The sequence below is a fragment of the Homo sapiens genome, chromosome 15 (assembly GCF_000001405.40).
Source record: "Homo sapiens chromosome 15, GRCh38.p14 Primary Assembly".
Classification (NCBI taxonomy): domain Eukaryota; kingdom Metazoa; phylum Chordata; class Mammalia; order Primates; family Hominidae; genus Homo; species Homo sapiens.
The window spans coordinates 28,736,035-28,758,362 of record NC_000015.10 but is presented as its reverse complement, the minus strand read 5'-3'; the positions used below and the strand labels follow the sequence as shown (position 1 = coordinate 28,758,362).

Here is a 22,328-nt window from a genome sequence, read left to right as displayed (position 1 = left end):
TGTTTCCTCTTTATTCTTTTTATTGAGCACTCTTATACATATATGGTTATGCAGAGATAACACACTGTCAATACAAAGATTTTCAGAATTTATTTGACAAAATGACACAAAACTAAAAATATCATTTACACATGAAATTCAAAGAACGCATTATTTTTCCTTACAAAATTGTGGAAAAATTAATTCAGATAGTAACATAGAACTAGTTCTAAAACTAAAATGCTAGTGTGAATGTATATAGGAGATATGGTTTGACTGTGTTCCTACCCAAATCTCATCTTGATTTTTAGTTCCCACAATTCCCACATGTTGTGGCAGGGACACAGTGGGAGGTAACTGAATCACGGAGGTGAGTCTTTCTCATGCTGCTCCCATGAGACTGCATAAGTCTCATGAGATTGGATGGTTTTATAAAGGGGAATTCCCCTGCACACATGCTCTCTCTCTTGCCTGCCACCATGTAAGATGTGACTTTGCTCCTCATTCACCTTCTGCCATGATTGGGAGGCCTCCCCAGCCATGTGGAACTGTGAGTCAATTAAACCTCTTTACTTTATAAATTACCAGTCTTGGGTATGTCTTTATTAGCAGTGTGAGAACAGAGTAATAGAACAGGCAAAATGAAGGAGTTTATTTTAAACCTGCTTTAAATTATTTCGTGGTTAAAGTATTTAAAACCTTTTCTTCTATTTTTAGGAAAACAATGAGAAAGCTAAACACAGGTCTAACTTGTTATTCAACTAAAAATTATTTTAAAAATATTTGAGTACTGACTTCTGGCACCAGCCAAGACAAAGCATGCTCACCAAGGCCTATTTCTCTTTCTGACTGAAATTAAAACTCTGGACATAAAAAGCAACTATCAAGGACTCTTAAAAGTAAACAATAACAGATGGATTGAAGGCAAAATCAAAATACCAATAGTGACCTGTAACAGGGGTGGGTTTAATGGCTATTTTTTTTTTTTCTAACCCAGGTGTGCAAAATTTCTACTGTTTTTAGCTAGAGAACCAAGAATGAAGCCTCTGCAAGATGGAGCATATGTAGAGTGTTGGGAGCAGGCCCCCCAAAATCTGGCCATAAACTGGCCATAAATAAAATCTCTGCAGCACTGTAACATGTTCATAATGGCCCTAACACCCATACTGGAAGGTTGTGGGTTTACTGGAATGAGGGCAAAGAACACCTGGCCTGCCCGGGGTGGAAAACCGCTTAAAGGCATTCTTAAACCACAAACAATAGCATGAGTGATCTGTGCCTTAAGGACATGCTCCTGCTGCAGTTAACTAGCCCAACCTATTCCTTTAATTCGGCCCATCCCTTCGTTTCCCATAAGGGATACTTTTAGTTAATTTAATATCTATAGAAACAATGCTAATGACTGGCTTGCTGTTAATAAATACGTGGGTAAATCTCTGTTTGTGGCTGAGCTCTGAAGGCTGTGAGACCCCTGATTTCCCACTTCACACCTCTATATTTCTGTGTCTATGTCTTTAATTCCTCTAGCACCGCTAGGTTAGGGTCTCCCTGACCGAGCTGGTCTCGGCATAGAGAAATAATTCTTTTGTTTTTCTCTTTCTTCCCCACCCAGCCTTGCCTGGAAGCCAGCTCTGGTTCTGAAGCTGCTGTCATGATACTAGCTGTGTAGTGGCAGCAATGCACAGGCACTGAGAACTTCAAGAGAGACAATCTCTCTCATTATTTCTCTTTAAAGAAAAAAAAAGGGGGGTACAGACACTTATGAGAAAACAAAAACACATGAAGACAAATATAAAAATACAATACTAAGATATCAAATCTAGCAATATTTAAAAACAATACTTTACAAACAAGTGATTTATACCATGAATGCAAGGCTGGTTCAACATTCAAAGCTCAACAGATATAAATTGCAACATTATTAGGTAGATGAAGAATAAACGTGTCATTTCAGCAGATGCAGCAAAAGCATTTGACAAAATTCAATAGCTATTCTTTATAAAAACTCTCAGCAAAATGAGAAAAGGGAACTTATCCTGATAGAGGGCATCTACAAAACAAACAAAAAAAAAACAAACAAAACTACCACTAAATTACACTTAATGGTGACTCTCCAACTGATTTAAAAACTGGGTCCAAGGCAAGAAGTCAGATCTTTTACCACTTATATTCAACTTTATACTGATAGTCCTAGCCAGATCAGTAATGTAGGGAAAAAAATCAGTGACATCCACATCAGAAAGGAAGAAATAAACCTGTTTCTATTTTCAGACAACAGTCTATGTAAAAGTATTCAAAATAACCTATTAAAATGCTCAATATGCGAGTTTAGTAATGTGGTTATATGCAAACTCAATAAACAAAATCAATCATATTTCTATATATTACCAAACAACGTTTGGAAATAGAAACATACAAAAAATTATTTAGAATGACATAAAAAATAAAGTGTTTATGTATAATTTTACAAAAATATGTGCACAATTGGTATTTTTCCTCCCAAGTAGCTGGGACTACAGGCATGCACCACCATGTCCAGCTAATTTTTGTATTTTTAGGAGAGCTGGGGTTTCACCATGTTGCCCAGCCTGGTCTCAAATTCATGGTCTCAAGCAATCCGCCCGCCTCAGCCTCCCAAAGTGCTGGGATTATAGGCATGAGCCACTGTGCCAGACTCCCTATTTACTTTATTTTAAAAAACCTATTTACCTGTAGATAAATGTTTGAGGTGATAGATACGCTAATTACCCTGATTTGATCATTCCATATTATATACCTCAAAATATCACACTATACCTCATAAATATGTACAATTATGTGTCAATTAAAAATAAAACCAAAAAATTATTTTTTCAACCTTCATAGTAGCTTTTTTTTAATTAAAGGAATTTATCTCTAATAATAAAGTCAAATAGAACAAAAATTACAGACTGAGGATCATTTTGTGGAGGAAATACAAATGTAGGCCTGGAACAGAGGGCATAAAAAAATAACATCATCCTCTTAAGTATATACTTTAAAAAAAAAGAAAAAAGAAAGTTGTAGATATCAAAAAAAAACAACAACACATTTTACTTTTAACTGGGCACTTTCACTACACTTATATCACAATGCTGCCTGGATAACATTTTAAAGAATTGTTTATTACAAATGAGAGGAAATGCCAGCTAAAGTCAAGGGAGTTGAACAGTTTTCAGTTTTCCCTGCCAATCTAAACCACCAGTGCCAGTAAGGACTACTCAGTGAAGAGTGCAGAGCAGGAACCCAAGCGTGTTGTGATGTTAAAAACAGCAGTTATTTTATATCATGGGTTTTGAATCACTGATATTCTATTTTTGTTGTTGCTTTTTATTGATATACCAGAAATAATGTTATTTTTTAAATGTTTCATGTTCTGAATGACCTGTTCTTAATACTTTCCTCTTTAGAGCGGTCTTCATTTATTTCCCCAGAAGTGTAGATGAGGTGATTGTTTATAGAACTTACATCTTTAAATGCTCTCAATCGTTGGAGTGTTTGACGTTCTTGGTTGACCCATTCTTTTTTCTTTTGCTCCTTTTTATCTTGTCTCTTTTCTATATTTAAGCAGATGTATATTTGTAAATTGCTCAACATTACAAAAATGTGTGGCATACAATAAAAATGTCCTGACAAAGAAAGAGGCTGTACCCCAACATTACCACCCCAAGACTGCGCCCAGACTGCAGGCCTGGAGGTGAATTGGCTGACAGCTGCAGGTCCAGGGCAGCGCAACTCCAGTTTCCACAAGTCTAGGCCTGCATGTCACGCTACACAAACATAGAACATTTTCCTTCGGAGGACACTCACCATCTGAATACTGTGATGCTGACGAGAATATCTTATGCTTTCTTCAGCCTGTTGCAATCTGAGCCAATGATTTTCTTTGCACTGATCCTGGTGGAATAATACAAATCACCTACATGGTTTTTAGTGTTACCCTGGTATAGCATAAAAGGTTAAAAGAAGAAAGCACTGCATTTGGGCGTAGTGTAAGGCATTCATTAATATTAGTTCTGGTGCGGCCCAATGGTACTCTCCTCCACAGTCTATGATGAGAGTTGCCTGGCTGCTTATGGAAATAATTTGTTCCCAGCAGAGTGCTTTAAGAGGTGAAAACAATCCGCCAACCATGAGAGGACACACAGGCAGCCCCCATTCTTAAATGGGATGTGTCCCAACAATGTTTTAATGTGATTGTTTTAAACACATTTCCCCATAACATTATAAATACTAATTACATTTCCAAGCATACCTACAAACGCAGAGCAACTGAAAAATTGTTATAACTGTGTTTCACCTGTGCTTAACCACTCACTATACCAATATATAATATGCTATACATACATAAAATCCTTAATCTATGTAAAAAATAATACAGTAATACTCACAGATAATACTAACATTTATTGAGTAGGTTTTAGCTTCAGTGATAAATACTTTTCATGCCTTATGCTACTCTATCGTCACATGAAATTTGTATTATTACCACTATCTTTTTTTTTTGAGACTGAGTTTTGCTCTTGTTGCCCAGGCTGGAGGAGTGCAATGGCATGATCTCGGCTCACTGCAACTTCCGCCTCCTGGGTTCAAGCGATTCTCCTGCCTCAGCCTCCCAAGTAGCTGGGATTACGGGTGCCGTGCCTGATCTATCATCCTCTTTTAACAGAGGAGAAAACTGTGAGCCCAAAAGAGATTTAAGTAATTTGCCTAATGTCACATGACTACTACCTAAGTGGCCAGACTGCGATCTGAACCCAAGTTGAGAGCTCACCTCAACTACCATTCTATTAACCGAGTGCCTTCCAAATTCCAACATTTCCAGAATCAGTGGAAAGAGCTCCTCTAAATGGGGTAGGGGGAGTGATTATATCTTGAGAGTGAAGGTTAATGCTCCAAGTCTGGATAAGAGAAGGCACAGGAGCATTTTATATACATATACATATAACACTGCCAAGGAGGTGGAGGCATCTGTTCATCCACAGCACCATGGGAGTGCCAAAGGAGACTCCTCTTGGGGCTCATGGGTTTTCTGAAATGTGGAGCAAAGGGCAAATGCCTGTAGATCTTCAAATCCTCTGAATAACAGTTCCTAAATCCAGAAGTACAATTCTTAAACACGAACATGCAAAGAATATACTCTTCTAACAAATTTTTTTATTTTTAATTTTTATTAGAGACAGGGTTTTGTTCTATCACCCTAGCTGGAGTGCAGTGGTACAATCACAGCTCACTGAGGCCTCAACCTCCTGGCCTCAAGCAATCCTCCTGCCTCAGCCTCTTGAGTAGCTGGGACTATACGTGCGCACCACAGAGATGAGGTCTCCCTGTGTTGTCCCTGGTCTCGAACTTCTGGCCTTAAGTGATTCTCCCACCTCAACCTCCCAAAGTGCTGGGATTACAGCCATAAGCCACAGCACCTAGCCAAGTTTTTTTTAAGTATTTGTATTTACATGGAAGAGTAATTAACATTTTTGTAAGCTACAAAAGTCACAATTTTCATGTTTTCTTAATTCTAACAAGAAAAGTATAGTAGGCTCGGCACAGTGGCTCACGCCTGTAATCCCAGCACTTTGGGAGGCTGAGGCAGGTGGATTGCTCGAGGTCAGGAATTCAAGGCTAGTCTGACCAACATGGTGAAACCCCGTCTCTACTAAAAATACAAAAATTAGCCAGGCTTGGTGGCAGGCACCTGTAATCCCAGCTATGCAGGAGGCTGAGGCAGCAGATTCGCTTGAACCTGGGAGGTGGAGGTTGCAGTGAACCGAGATCACGCCACTGCACTCCAGCCTGGGAGACAGAGCAAGACTGCGCATCAAAAAAAAAAAAAGGGAGAAAAGTATAGTAAATATGAGTAAATACAAATAAAAGTCTGTATAAAAATGATATATAGAAGCTTCCTTTTCTGTCAGAAAAAATTAAATTTCTTAGTGTTATCTTTTTATGTATTCATGGATTTTTAAAAATTAAGAAAAAAAATCACCAAATACAAGGTCTGAGGTGAGCTGAATATTGTTATCTGTAATTGTTTTGTGTACTAAAATATATTTAGAATTATTATAGCTGGTTATTAGAAATGGAGTTTCTACCTATTGTGGTTTTTAAAGTACCTGTGGTCCGGGGGTGGTGGCTCACACCTGTAATCCCAGGACTTTGGGAGGCCAAGGTGGGCGGATCACTTGAGGTCAGGAGTTCAAGACGAGCCTAGCCAACATGGCGAAACCCCGTCTCTACAAAATATACAAAAATTAGCTGGGCGTGGTGGCACGTGCCTGTAAACCCAGCTACTTGGCAGGCTAAGGCACGAGAATTGCTTGAACCTAGGAGGCAGAAGTTGTAGTGAGCCAAGATCATGCCTCCGCACTCCAGCCTGGGTGACAGAGCAAGACTCTGTCTCAAAAAAAATAAAAATAAAGTGCCTGTGTATGCAGTGGGAATTCAACAAATAGTTGTTGAATGAATAAATTAAAACCTTGAGATTTGCTAAATGCTTAAAACCCAAAAGAAAAAAATAATATTTTTAAGAAAAATATTAAAAATCATTTTAACTATAGCCATGGATAAGTTCATAAGCACACAAAAAATTAATCACTGTGTTGGTAAAAACCTTATTTCAATACCTCTTTATCCTTCATACAAGAATAAATCTCTGGAAGAGAAAAGAAAAGAAAGCTGCTCTGAGCGTACCCACCTTTCTACTCTGGAGAGAAGCTCTTTTGACACAGATCCTGCCCCGTTTAATAGACTCCAGCTGCTGGCACTGCCTTCTGAGTTCTTTCACTTCCGAATTCTTATCGTCCTGCAGCCCCACCACAGTCAATGACTAAGTTCCTCTGGACTTTCACATGGATCGTAATAGACAACTTCATCCTGTTTTTCTAAAAAGGTATTAATGATTGTTTAAAACATATTTTATTATTTGTAAAAATACATTGAATTTTTTTAAATGTAAGGAAAATAAAGATCACTTGTAATCCCACCACTGAGAACCACTATTAACATATAAAAAATCTATGTGTATAAATGTAATATACATATACACATGTGTATATATACATGACTATACACATGTATGTAAGTAGCATGTGTGTATATACATGTAAGTAGTATATGCATGTATATATACCTGTATAGACATACGTATATATACACATGCACACACACACACATACTACTTACATAGCTACACGTATCAATGGAGTTCTAAAAGAACACTTTCCATGGGATGGAAATAAATTTTTAGGCCAGGTGCGGTGGCTCACGCCTGTAATCCCAGCACTTTGGGAGGCCAAGGCAGGCTGCACACCTGAGGTCAGGAGTTCAAGACCAGCCTGGCCAACATGGCAAAACCCCATCTCTACTAAAAATACAAAACTAGTTGGGCACAGTGGCGTGTGCCTGTAATCCCAGCTACTCAGGAGGCTGAGGCAGGAGAACAGCATGAACCTGGGAGGCAGAAGTTGCAGTGAGCCGAGATCGTGCCACTGCACTCCAGCCTGGGCAACAGAGCAAGACTCCATCTCCAAAAACAAAAAAAAATTAAAAAAGATAAATTTTAATGGCAGCATAGTATTCTCTAATTTAAGCAATCCATGTTGTTAGGCTGTTCCAATGTTCCATTATTATTCATTTCACTGTGATGAACATCTCTGTATAAATCTTTGTGTATGCTTTTTATCACTTCCTTAGCAGATAAGTGTTTAAGGATCTTGATACCCATTGCCACACTGCCCTCCAGAAAGGCAACTTATATTCTACCAGCAATATATTATTAAGATGCCTTAGTGATATTTAATCTTGATTACATATTGATTTTTTAAAAGTCATGCTTACTGTAACAAATTCAAACCCACCCGAAGTACATCAAATAAACAGTGAAATTCTATTGCTCCTTCCCCAAACCTTCTGAGTCATTCTCAGAGGAAAAACATTATGAACAATTTGGCATGCATCCTTCCAGATTAACTTGTTTTTTAATGTAATTTTTTTCCTAAATATGTAAAATGCTTATAACCTGAAACTACTGAAAAAAATTCTGAATACTCAGGATTAAACTAAAAGTTCAGGATCTATGTGAAGAAATTTATTAAACTTGGAGGAACTTTAGGAAAAAAGATTTAAATAAATGGAGAGAGACATACCAAGTTCTTGGGTAGGAAGATTCAAAATTGCAAAGACCACTATTCTCCCCAAAGTAATCTCTAATTTTAAGCAAAATCACAATCAAAATTCCAAAGAGTTTTTTGTTTTGAACTTGATTCTAAATTTCATCTGGAAGAATAAACGAGTGAAAATAGTCAGAAAACTTGTGAAGTAATGTGGGGGGTACTTGCCTTACCAGACCCTAAAATGTGCCTCCAAGACAGTCGTGGGAACAGTATGGAGCCAGCAGCAGAAGCCACTCACGAACCAATGGAGGAGAACAACTCAGAAACAGACCCAAGTCAATCTAAGGTTTAACTGGAGAAATGTTAAACATTTAGGGAAAATGTTTTTAAAATCAGTGATTGGGACTGCTTAACAATTTGAGGGAAAGGTTCAATTCCTACCACAATCAAAATAAATTCCACCTGGACTAAAGAATTAAATGTTTTAAAAAATAACATCATAAACATACTGAAAGAAAACATAAGTATATATTGACATAATTTTGGGATAGGAGACTATTGCCAGACATAATACTAAAAGCAGAAGCCATAGGGGAAAAAAATCGATAAACACGACTTCATAAAACTTAAATATTTCTGAAAGGCAAGAAAACGCAAATGACAAGGAGAGATTATTTGCAACATATGACAGACAATAGAGGACATTATTCTTAATGTTGAAAGGAAATATTCCAAAGAAAAATGGACAAAGACTATGAATAGGCATTTCATAAAATAAGTACAAATGGCTTGTAAACATACAAAATTTTGTTCAATAATCACTCATAATTAAATAAATGAAAATTGGAAGACTGCCATTTTCTCTGTCAAGTAAGCAAAAATGCAAAAGAATGGCATGAGTCTGGGAAACATACACACTCATATTCTGCTGATGGGAGCGTCTTTTTTCTTTTCTTTTTTTTTTTGAGACAGAGTCTTACTCTGTCGCCCAGGCTGGAGTGCAGTGGTGCCATCTCAGCTCACTGCAATCTCAACCTCCCAGGTTTAAGCGATTCTCCTGCCTCAGCCTCCCAGGTAGCTGGGATTGCAGGCACCCACCACCACGCCCGGCTAATTTTTGTATTTTTAGTAGAGACAGGGTTTCACCACGTTGGCCAAGCTGGTCTTGAACTCCTGACCTCAAGTGATCTGCCCCCTCTCAGCCTCCCAAAGTGCTGAGATTACAGGCGTGAGCCACCACGCCCAGCCTGGGAGCGTCATTTTAAATGTACGACCTATCTAGAGGGCCACTACATAGTATGAAATTTAGAAATCAGAAAATAATACGGAGGTGAGGAAAAATGTATCTCAGATGACTGCTGTATTGTTACGTAGCAAAATGTAAAATATACATTGCCCTTGACCCAGTAATTCCATCCTTAGATATTTATTCCAAGGAGATAATCTGTCCTATACTCAAAGACATGTGTAAAGGAAAGTTCACTACACTACTGTTCAAAACAGCGGAAATTTGGAAATCACGGTATATCCATATAATGGAATACTATGCAGCCATTAAAATTTTGATACTTTTATTATTTCTGAAACAGAAAGACAATTATTATGTATTAAATGAAAAAGAGACTATTATGCATTGTATGCCTGTGTCAAAATATCTCATGTAACCCATAAATATATGTATCTGCTATGCACCCCTAAACATTAAAAAATTTTAAAAAAGATGTTACTGAACTGGTTATGTAGTTTTGGTTAAAAATTTATATTTTTACATATCAGCATATTTTGAAATCTACAAAGTTATACAGCAAATTGTTACCACTAAGTATCCGTCTTTTTTTTTTTCTTTTTTAGACGGAGTCTTGCTCTGTCTTCTAGGCTGGAGTGCAGTGGCACGATCTTGGCTCACTGAAACTTCCACCTCACGGGTTCAAGCCATTCTCCTGCCTCAGCCTCCCAAGTAGCTGGGATTACAGGCACGTGCCACCACATTGGACTTTGTATTTTTAGTAGAAACAGGGTTTAGTATTTTTGTATTTTTAGTAGAGACGGGGTTTCACCATGTTGGTCAGACTGGTCTGGAACTCCTGACCTCAAGTGATCTGCCCGCCTCAGCCTCCCAAAGTGCTGGGATTATAGGCCTGAGCCACTGTGCCCAGCCAACCATTGAGCATCTCTAGATGATGGGATTGGGGTAATAATCATTTTTCTTTCTTTGTTTTGCTATGTGCTAACAATGAATATATTATTTGAATAATAAACCACTGAAGGAAAACTTTAGGAAATTTTCAGATGTTACAGTTTACAAAAAGTAATTGATAATATGGTCTGTATTTCCTTAAATTTATAAACATTGTAATCTATATACTTAAATAAAAACTTTACCTTTTATAAGTCTTTCAAGAGAGTCCAACTGTGTAGTAAGCAGTATTTCTTTGTTTTTTAATATCTCAAATTTAACTTCATATAGTTCTAACTGAATTTCATAAAATTGTATTTCTAATTCATCTACAACATTTATATTTTTTTCTTGTTCTGGAAGATCTTCCATCTTATTTTCATAGAAAAAAGAAAAATAAGTTAAAACAAATAGTATATTAAAAACAAACTTTAGAAGCATTCTAGCTATTTTCTATTCCTTGTTCCGTACTAAATATAAAAGAGCAAATAGGAAAGAAACACTTTTTCATTTCATCTAGTGATGCTAATACTTTATCCCATCCTTGAAACAGAGAAAAACATTTAGGTTTTGAGAAACATAAATGGCAATGAGGTATTATTATGTATTGCATATCGGTGTCCCCCCAAAATTCATATGTTGACACTGTAACTCCCAATGTGATGTTATTTGGAGGTGGGTCCTTTGGAAGTAATTAGGTTCAGATTATGTCAAAAGGATAGCACCCCCATCATGGGATTAGTGCCCTTATTAGAAGAGAAAGACAGGGATCACTTTCTTTCTCTCCAAACATACACACAGAAGAAAGGCTATATGAGCACTCAGTTAAGAAGGCAGCTGTCTACTAGACAGGAAGAGGATCCGCACCAGACAGTGAATCTGCAGGCACCTTGATCTTGGACTTCCCAGCCTCCAGAACTGTGAGAAATACATGTCCGTTGTTGAAGCCACCCAATCTGTGATATTTAATATTGTTATAGCAGCCTTAGCCAACTAAGACAGGTGTTTACAGTGTTTTCTGCTTTAAAGTCATAAGATTATAGGAAAAAACTTAAGTGTCTAAGATCCTTCAGGGAAGTATCTCTTTGATTATTTTAGAGCTGTACTGAAAACATTGCTGGATTGATTTTCAAGTACAGTACCCACTTCAATACTGGGCTTGGTGTTACTATAAAGTGAATCCTACAGTGTGGTATTTTGAAACATCTTAACCAAAGGAAAACTTTATGTCTAACCTTCCATAGGAGATGGTGTTGGAATAAGTGAAGAAAAGCAGCTCTTTAACAATGCCTGGAAAGAAAAGTGCTATCTAAAAATACAAGTGTGCTTTACCACATGGTCTCACTTATAAGTGGGAGCTAAGTAGTGTATACACAGACAGTGTGGAATAACAGACACTGGAGACTCAGAAGAGTAAGAGGGTGGGAGGGGGGATGAGAAATATTTAATGGGTACAATTACATTATGTAGGTGATGATTACGCTAAAAGCCCAAACTTCACCACTACACAATATATCCATGGAACAAAACTGCACTTGTATCCTTTATTTATACAAAATTTTTAAAAAATAAAAGTGGGGCGGGGCACGGTGGCTCACACCTGTAATCCCAGCACTTTCGGAGGCCAAGGTGGGCGGATCACGAGGTCAGGAGATCGAGACCATCCTGGCTAACACGGTGAAACCCCGTCTCTACTAAAAATACAAAAAATTAGCTGGGCGCGGTGGCGGGCGCCTGTAGCCCCAGCTACTCAGGAGGCTGAGGCAGGAGAATGGCATGAACCCGGGAGGCGGAGCTTGCTGTGAGCCGAGATCGTGCCACTGCAGTCCGGCCTAGGCAAAAGAGCGAGACTCCGTCTCAAAAAAAAAAATAAAAATAAAAAATAAATAAAAGTGTATTTTTAAAACAAAGTTACGTTTATCTTTGTCTTACCTTTCCCTGAATTTCAGCTCTTTTGCAATTTAAATACAATTCTTTCGCTCTCATGAGTTGCAGAGTCTCTTGAGCTAGCATTAGCTTAAGTTTTTCCAACCTGGGAATTGCTGTGGCCCAGGCAGCCTGGCCAAGTCTCTTCACATCCTGTTCCATTTCTTTTTGCATTCCTGTTGGATTATAAAAATAAAATATAATTACACCTCATTAAAAAGGGAAACATTGATCATGAGCTAATTCTTTTTTTATTGCCTCCATACTACCTGCAGAACATCTTTTTTAAAAGAAATTTTGTTTTATTAACTTTTTATTATTATAAAAATAATACATGGTCATTAATATACAATTTTAGGTATTCAATTTTTAAAAGGACAATAATAAGTCATGATCTCACCTAGTTGAGGCAACTGCTTCTTATATTTTGGCACACTTGCTTCCATATTGTTTCTATGACTAGCTAGACAGACAGGCTCATATGGATAGTTTGACCAAAAAACCAGGATCATCATTCTGCTTTATATCTTGTTGATTCTGTGCAATATATCAGAAACTCCTGCCATTTATAAAAAAAAAATCAAGAATCATGCTTAATAGCTATGTAGTTTTCTCTTTTATGAATGTACCATAACTTAAACTGACAGACATTAAGTTGTTTCCTATTTGGTGTTTTTATCAACAATTATTTAAGACTGAAAAAAAGTCCTTCACCCAGCCCACAAGCCCCTGCACGGTCTGATCCCTGCCTGTCTTGCCAGCATTCTCCCTCATACCACATTGTCCTGCACTCTCTGCGATCCAGCCCCGCAGGTTTTCTGTAAGCTCCTATTTGCCAACTTCCCTCAAGCCAGGGGACCTTCGCCAGTGCTATTCCTTCTGCCCGGAACACTCCTCACTTTTTCTATTCTCTCAATTTCCATTTACCCTTCAGATATTGGGGCAAGCGCCACTTCTCAGAGGCCTTCAGTGACCACGCTGATCAAGCCCAATTTCTCTCTCACAGACCCTCAGAGCCCCATGTCTCTCTTCTTTGTGCCATTTATTGTCACTGCCATTTTCTGTGTGCTTCAGTGAATAGATAATTAAGATTTCTCTCCCTTCACCAGACTGTACAATGTCTCTTAATGCTTGACACTGAATTCTCGCCACCTAGAAAACACAGTGCCTAGTGCGTAAGAGGGACTCAAATGGTATTTGAATAAAATGACAATCAATTACACGTATCTGCGTATAGCATTTTTTTAGATTATCACCTGCTAATGCTTTTACTGTCTCCTTAAAATAATTCACTGTGATATCTTGAATAGAGACGACAGCTTCTCCAGCCCGTCTGGTCCATTCTTCAGCTTCTTTCTCCAGGGCAACTACCCTTCTAGGACCTAGGTCATCCTCATCCAAGGACTTCTACAGACAGAAGGGAAAATTATCTTAGTAAGAGCTAATAGTTATGTAGAACCATTAGGAAATTGAAAGGAAATTGGTCACATGGATTAATTTAACTACACTACTACTCAGTCAGTTAAATTTTCATTCATTCAGCAGTCCCTTACTGCATATGAATAAGGCTCTAAGCTGAGCACCACCTGGAAGACAAAAGGACCCTCTGGGGCATAAAGTGGGGGGGAAAAAAAACTACTTTCACTTCACATGCCTAGAATAACTTTTTCTAGAGAGGAATGTTGTCAACTTATGCTTCTCTCTATTAATAATAATACACAATTGTTTAAATGAGTGATCTGTGTTGTCAAGCACTCAGCACAGGGCCTGGAAAACAGCACTTAAGTGTTAGCTGTTGTTATCATTTCTTTTAGGGATATGTAATATTATCACCTAAAAGACAGTATCTGTATATTCATGCTTATAACATGTACTGGTATTGGACTGAATGTTTGGGTCCCCCCAAAATGCATATGTTGAAGCCTAAATCCCCAGTGTGATGGGATTTGAAGATGGGGCCTTTGGGAGGTAATTAGGTCATGAGGGTGGAGACCTCAAGAAAATTGGGATTAATGCCCTTATAAAAAGAAGAGGAGACACAGGATCTCTCTCTCTGCTCTTCACCATGTGAAGACACAGCAAGACAGTCATCTACAAATTAAGAAACTGGCCCTCACAAGACACTGGATCTGCCAGCACCTTGATCTTAGACTACCCAGCCTCCAGAACTGTGAGAAAAAAGTTTTGTTGTTTATAAGCCACTAATCTACAGTACTTTGTTACAACAGCCTGAACTAAGACATGTACAGCTATGTCATCCAATATGCAATTTTTCTTCTACAAAGCATAAGAAATATGTACAAGTTAGCCGACAAGGAATTACAAATCAAAACGAGATACCACTTCACACCCACTAGGATGGCTGTAACCAAAGAGACACACAATTACAAGTGTTGGTGATAATGTGGACAAATTGGAACCCTCATTTACTGCTTCTGGGAATATAAATGATGCACCCACTTTGGAAAACCATCTGGCGTCTTTCAAAAGGTTAAACACTGAGTAATCACAGGACCCAGCAATCCTACTCCTCAGTACGTACACAAGAGCAATGAAAAGATATGTCTACACAAAAACTCACACACAAGCATTCATAGCAGAATTATTCATGATAGCCAAAAAGTGGAAACAACCCAAATGTCCATCAACTGATGAATAAAATGCAATATATCCATACAATGAATATCACTGAGCAATAAAAAGAAATGAAATCCTGGTATTTGCTACAACATGGATTAGCCTTGCAAACATTGTGCTGAGTGAAAGGACCACATATTCAATAATGCTGTTGCTATGTCCAGAGTAGGGAAATCCACAGAGACAGAAAGTAGATTGGTGGTTGCCCAGGGCTGGCAGTGACTAATGGGTACAGGGTTTCTTTTGGGGGTGAAAATGTCCTGAAATTACATAGTAATGATCATTGTGCAACTTTCAATATACTAAAAATCACTGAATTGTACATCTTTTTATATATGTAGATATATTTTATATATATATGCATATATATACATATATACGTATATACGTATACATACATATATACGTATATATGTATATATACATATACACATACATATATACATATACATATATACGTATATATACATATATACACATATACATACATACATATACAGATTATATATATGTATACATATATACACATACATATATACATATATGTATGTACGTATACATGCATATATACATATATGTATGTACGTATACATGCATATATACATATATGTATGTACATATACATGCATATATACATACATATATGTATACATATATATACAGATTTTACATATATATATATATATATATATATATATGGTCTGTGAATGGTATTTTAAAACAGCTGTTACTTAAAGAAAGGAAAATTATAGACTGGGTGCGGTGGCTCATGCCTGTAATCCCAGCACAATGGGAGCCTGAGGCAGGCAGATCACCTGAGGTCAGGAGTTCGAGACCAGCCTGACCAACATGAAGAAACCCCGTCTCTACTAAAAAAATACAAAATTAGCCGGGCTGGACAAGGTGGCACATGCCTGTAATCCCAGCTACTCGGGAGGCTGAGGCAGAAGAATCGCTTGAATCCAGGAGGTGGAGGTTGCCGTGAGCCGAGATCACGCCATTGCACTCCAGCCTGGGCAACAAGAGCGAAACTCCATCTCAAAAAAAAAAAAAAAAGAAGAAGAAAGCAAAATATATGCGAGACGTAGACTCTCCAAATAATAGACTTTCAAAATAATGAACAGAACAACTTTATCCACAGGTTAGGGTGGCATGAGTTTCATCTAAATGTGATACTATTTTTATAGTACAATCATCTGGCAGGGGCATGAGATTATATGTGGAAAGATGGCCCAGTGCAGGGGGCAGAAATCAAGAGATCTCTTAGGTGTCTTCTGATTCCCGTTGTTGAGACCCAAGGCAAGCTATTTAACAACTCCGGACTCTAGATTCATTTGTAACACTGGAATAAGAATGCCTTTCCTGAATGGTGTCACAAGGATGTTTGATGGCTCAATGAAGCAAGAGCGATAACTGTATTTACTAAAATTTAAGTTACTGAATTACAATCTAGGGTCCTGCTATTTAAATTTTCATCCTATTTTAAGAAATCTGCATGAGTCCTTAGAGGAAAACAACTGAAGCAAATAAACATCACATCAAAAACAATTCATCAGGCTGGGCGCAGTGGCTCACGCTTGTAATCCCAGCACTTTGGGAGGCTGAGACGGGTGGCTCACTTGAGGCCAGGAGTTCGAACCAGTCTGGCCAACATGGTGAAACCCCGTCTCTACTAAAAATACAAAGAAAGTTAGCTGGGCATGGTAGTGCACACCTGTAATCCCAGCTACTCAGGAGGCTGAGGCAGAAGAGTCACTTGAACCTGGAGGAGGTTGCAGTGAGCCAAGATTGTGCCACTGCACTCTAGCCTAGCTGACAAAGAGAGACCCTATCTCAAAAAACAAAAAAAAAAATTCATCGCCAGAAAAAACATTTAACTCTTTAAAATTTGTAGGAATCTTAAGCTATTAAGATGACCAACGTAAATGTCTTCATTTTCTATCAATTTTAAATATAAATTCAATATTTAAACACGAGGGTGAACTAGGCATAGTGGCTTATGCCTGTAATGCTACGCTTTGGGAGGCCGAGGTGGGCAGACTGCTTGAGCTCAGGAGTTAGAAACGAGCTTGAGCAACATGGCAAAACCTCATCTCTATCAATAAATAAGTAAATAAACATAAGAGTAAACCCAAACAAACCCAAACAAAGTACAGAGATTGAAGATTAAGTGTAAATAAAGAAATAATATATGACAAATAGTAAATGTGATAAAATAAAAATTAAAAAAAAAACCAAAATATCAAGCTTACATAAAGTTGCAACTTCTCGCATAGCCCTAAATGGCCGCAATAAGTACTGGAAGAACGTGGTTGCCACGGTAACTAATTCCTGGTAGGCTTCATCTTCCTCTTGGTAAACTTTCATTAATGCTACCATGGTGTTGGCTTTTCCGTGTCCTTGAATAACCTAGAGAGCAAATGTGAATAAAGCTCAAGTCAGGACAGTGTAATACATACCCAACAAACAAAGCTAAACGAAAGAAACCTTCATGTTCTCAACTTTCAATACATCAATTTAAAATATTGATTAAATACGAAAATGTTATCATTCTCCATCAAAAATGCCCAATAAAACAAGAATTGTTAAGAAAATTATGATATATCCATGGCAGAATATTATTAGTGTAGTCATTCAGCACTGTGCTTCTGAAGATTGTTTAATAATATGGAGACTTTTGGCCAGGCACGGTGGCTCATGCCGGTAATTCCAGCACTTTGGGAGGCCGAGGCGGGTGGATCACTTGAGGTCAGGACTTCGAGACCAGCCTGACCAACATAGAGAAACACTGTCTGTACTAAAAATACAAAATTAGTTGGGCGTGGTGGCGCATGCCTGTAATCCCAGCTACTGGGGAGGCTGAGGCAGGAGAATCGCTTGAACCTGGGAGGCGGAGGTTGCGGTGAGCCGAGACAGTGCCATTGCATTCCAGCCTGGGCAACAAGAATGAAACTCCGTTTCAAAAATAAAAAGAGACTTTTATAATTAAATGGAGAGGCAGAGTATAAAATTTAATCTCAACTGTGCACTAAGTATGCAGCGAAAAGGACCCAAAAGAAGGTTTGAGGTTGTGGATATTTTTTCATTTGACTTTTCTGACTGTAAAGGTTTTGTGAGGCTGTATTCCTTTTTAAAAGCTCATAAGGGCCAGGCGTGGTGGCTCACGCCTGTAACCCCAGCACCTTGGGAGGCCACAGCAGGCGCATCACAAGGTCAGGAGAACGAGACCATCCTGGCTAACACGGTGAAACCTGTCTATACTAACAATACAAAAAATTAGCCGGGCGTGGTGGCGGGCGCCTGCAGTCCCAGCTACTGGGGAGGATGAGGCAGGAAAATGGCGTGAACCCGGGGGGCAGAGCTTGCAGTGAGCCAAGATGGCACCACTGCACTCCAGCCTGGGCGACAGTGCAAGACTCTCTCAAAAAACAAAACAAAACTCAACTAAACAAAATCTCATAAAACATTACAGAGCTGTCTCCAAGTACTTTAGCATGTTGATTCTCTTAATGCCCCAGGTTAATATTCCCATGAAGTCCTTAGCAGTCAACTCATTTACAGAGCCTCAGCTGTGGTTCCGGTCTCTGCTGGTTATTGCTTGTGCTGCAGGGCAGAAAGCAAACTGAACAGTGTATAATCTAGGTGGACTGATTTGGTTGGAAATTATTTTACTCCCACAAGAAGAGAAATAAAATCAAATAATATAGATTTTTTTCAACCAATACATTCTTAAAGTCTTCTATTTCCATCCTTCTGCTTAAGGCTAAAGTGATCTACTTTCAGCTGTATTTTTTATCCAGGTAATAATATTATCATTTTTTTTAAGTGAAAGCCTCACTGAACAAAATTAAAACACACAAGCAAAAGTCAAAAGGCAAGTGGTACATTTCAGCCTTCTTTCTTAGACTATTCAGAAAAATTCCGGAGTTAAAACATTCAGCTTCATTTTATATATCCTAGCAATCCTAGCAATTGGTCTAATTCTAGAATCAATTACTTTTCTATTCTAAATATAAAGTAAATATTAAAATTATATATTTGGACATGTGAAGTTTAGCTTCCCCTCTCAACCCCTCATTTTTGAGTTCCAGATAAATATGTGAACTACACTAACGTGAACAACTAGCTCAACAGAATGAACTACATTCATGCTATAGTACCCCAGAGTGAACTTAAATTTGGGAAAACTAACTTTTCTGATAGCAACTACAGTAAAATACACCATATAAATGTTCGATTTTAAGGAGAAACCACCTATCTCTGTGAGAAACCAAGTGTTTAAAAAACAAGTCTGATACAAAATGATACCATTTTTGAAACTCCCCTGTGGGTTCCTCATATCCTCAGGTGAAAGTTATAAAGTTGAAGATGAAAAGCTGACTGGCCTGAAACTCCCCTGTGGTTTCCTCATAGTCTAAAGTGAAATCAACACGTTAAGTGGGTGTGTAGACATTTACACATAAAGCTCACAGTACAAAAATGACCCCACTAACAAGCTCCTTTTATAAAACCATTTTAATTTAGAAAGCTTATTCTATATTTAGCTTAGGCTGAATTCTTCTTTTCACCTCCCCTTCCTCAAAAGAATGCACAGAAAAATATCATTCAGGTTAATAAGAGCAGTGAGCCGAGACTCCAGCCTGGCTCTGCTTAGTAAACCGTGGGTGTGGATTTAGAAGGCATACTTTCTCCTAAACCCTTCTATGAACATGTACTTCCCCGTCCCCTAAGTTCAGTAAGTTTACCACTCAATTACTCTCTCAAACTACCTCTTTCAAGCTTAAAAGGGCACTAATGCGGTTAAACTGATGAATAAAGCTCACTTTCTACCGGCTTTCCATTTGACCAAGTCTGTATTACTTAAAACAAAACACCCTAACTCCTAAAAGCCATTTCTTCCTTTAAACCATTTTATCCCACTTGCGACGTCCCCGCAGACACAGACTTAGAATTGTTTACGTGTAGTCCGTGTTATTCTTTCCTACATGGATGGGTTGTTTTCAGTTTGCTTGCAGTATTTCTGACATTTCCCGTTACAACATCCTGCTCTGCCAGCATCTTCAGGGCAAAGGTTGGGGGCCTAGCCCAGCTCCCAGCGGCAAGTACACTAGGCTCTTAACTTCGCTTGTCCTCTCTGCAGGCCCTGCCGAAGCTCCCCCTGGTTTCCCGCAGCGATCCCGCGCAGGTGAGGGTACTGGGGAGCCCGTGGCCTTCTCCGCCCGCCGGCTCCTCCCCATCAGCCGTCAGCCAGGGCTCTCGGCGCCGGGGAAGCCTCCCACAGGGTCCCAGGCCACCCAAGCGCGGTCAAACGCCGGCGGCCCGGCCTCGCTTACCTGACGCAGCCGCGCGTCCGCCTCGACCCATCAGGCGCGCAGGGCCCGCTCCCGAAACTCGCGCGGGCTCTCGCAGTCGGCCGCGCGGCCCTTAGCCGCGAAGAGAGCGTCGCGCACGGTGGCGCCGCCACAGCCGTGGGCCGCCGCGCCCAGGTAGCGCTCCAGCTGCCCGCAAAGCTCCTGCAGCGCCGCCTCGCCGGGGCCCACGCGCGCCGGCCAGAGCAGCGCCCACCGCCCGAGCCCCAGACCTCAGGCCCCGCCGCCGCCCACGTCCAGCTCCGGCGGCAGCCGTGGGAAGCAGTGTTCCAGAGGCGGCCACAGCGCCGCTGGCTGCCGGCGCGCGCCGCGGAACCCCGCGGCCGAGAGCCGGCCGGCCCAGCTGGGCGGGGACACGGCGGCCTCGGGCTTGTGCTCCAGCCCCAGCCGGGCCCCCTCGCGCCGCTGCGGCTGCTGCGCGGTGCGGTCGTGACAAGTCACAGCAAACTTGCCCTCCGCGCCGTTCCAAGCCACCAGGAAGCGCAACCGGTGCCTCTGGGGATCGGCGAAGAGGCCCTCCCGGAGCGGCGCCCAGCCCTCCAGGCTGTCGGGCTGCTCGTCCTCCATGGCCGTCGGCGGCAGCGGCCCTAGGGCTTGGCGGGCGCGGGCCTGACCTCGTCGCACCGCCTGTCAGGGGACAGTCCCAGGTGAAGCATTTTTCGCTCCACAATTGGTATTTTAACAATATGAATGAAAAAAAAAAACCTCAGCTGTTTTGATAGAAATAACAAACGTGCCTAGGAATCATCTTCCTTGAAGGGAGAGGAGGGTCTTACTGAACTTGAAAAAACTAAATAAGCAAAGTTGATACATAAGGACACCCTTCTCTTTACCCTTACCTATTCTTAACAACTTTAATTCATTTCTGACACTGTCACCAACTGAAAAAGGGTCCAACTAAAAAAAAAAAATCATAAAGGTGAGAAAAATTGTGACGTGTTCTATCCTAATCCAATATATCTAAACCAATTTTACTGATAGAGAAAATATATTAAGTGAATGATGTAAATACATTAATATAGGTAACAACTCTTTGAAAGTAAAGTTTGCACATAACATGAAATACATAGAGAATTACTGCCGTCTCGAAGGAGAGAACCCTTGATGGGGAGTGGTAGTCAAAAAGGTGTATGAGCAAGTCATCTGTTGCAAGGTGATGGGAGGAGATTTTTATGCAGGCATTCAATATCAGTCAGAGGTTTTAATGATTTTTGTTTTTTATCTTGAGAGTTGGAGACTAGAAGATCTAAAATAGGAAAATTTTGGCATATCCATAGATAGAATGGAAGCTCTTGGCCAAAAATAACGTGCTCCAAGTCATGAAAAATAGCACACATGCACAATTAACTACAGAGTTACACAAGATGGTGTCTTTTCATTCGATTTTATTTGAACTCTTATTCTTCTCTATCTTTTACGCTTTGTATCCTTGTTAAATTAACTCTTCCATTTTTTCCTCATCCTATGGGGTACTTTAAACATTTTATTCAATAACTCTTAAGGCAATTTTTACAATTCTATTCACATATAAAATTGTCATAAGCATGTTTTGTGAGTGAAAAATTCTAATTTGTAATGCATATCAAGTGAAAAGCCTCAGTTCAGCACTCGTCATATCCAAAATCTGTGTTATATAATAATGTAAAAGACATATTTTCACACATGTAGCTCAAATGAGATTCTTACTTAACATTTCTTTTTTTTTTTTTTTTTGAGACGGAGTCTCGCTCTGTTGCCCAGGCTGGAGTGCAGTGGCGCAATCTCAGCTCACTGCAAGCTCTGCCTCCTGGGTTCATGCCATTCTCCTGTTTCAGCCTCCCAAGTAGCTGGGACTACAGGTGCCCGCCACCACGCCCGGCTAATTTTTTGTATTTTTAGTAGAGACGGGGTTTCACAGTGTTAGCCAGGATGGTCTCGATCTCCTGACCTCGTGATCTGCTCGTCTCTGCCTCCCAAAGTGCTGGGATTACAGGCGTGAGCCACCACGCCCGGCCTACATTTTACAAAATTTAACTCAATCTTTTATTTTAAAAAATGTGCATATACTGCCTGTTCAAGTACTTACTCTTTTTATTTATTATTTGAAATTGGAGGTCCATCTTTTTAGATTGTTAG

General features: G+C 39.6%; 1 pseudogene across 1 annotated transcript, besides 1 other annotated feature; it reads right to left on the bottom strand.

Annotated features, from left to right (window-relative positions):
• Nucleotides 1-20,780, bottom strand: WHAMMP2 (WHAMM pseudogene 2; annotated as a pseudogene). The gene is made up of 9 exons (NR_026589.1): nt 20,178-20,780; nt 17,080-17,253; nt 13,464-13,614; nt 12,608-12,766; nt 12,214-12,383; nt 10,488-10,653; nt 6,689-6,875; nt 3,808-3,894; nt 1-3,549 (listed from the first exon to the last, which is right to left on the bottom strand). The product of NR_026589.1 is annotated as a WHAMM pseudogene 2 (transcript).
• Nucleotides 13,401-13,993: an enhancer, noted in NCBI's record as "NANOG-H3K4me1 hESC enhancer chr15:28989516-28990108 (GRCh37/hg19 assembly coordinates)". NCBI's record gives its function as "activates a minimal SCP1, AML or CMV promoter by ChIP-STARR-seq in naive H9 embryonic stem cells {active_cell/tissue: H9 hESC(naive)}" and the evidence as "EXISTENCE:reporter gene assay evidence [ECO:0000049][PMID:30033119]".
• Nucleotides 20,781-22,328: the final 1,548 nt, after the last annotated feature.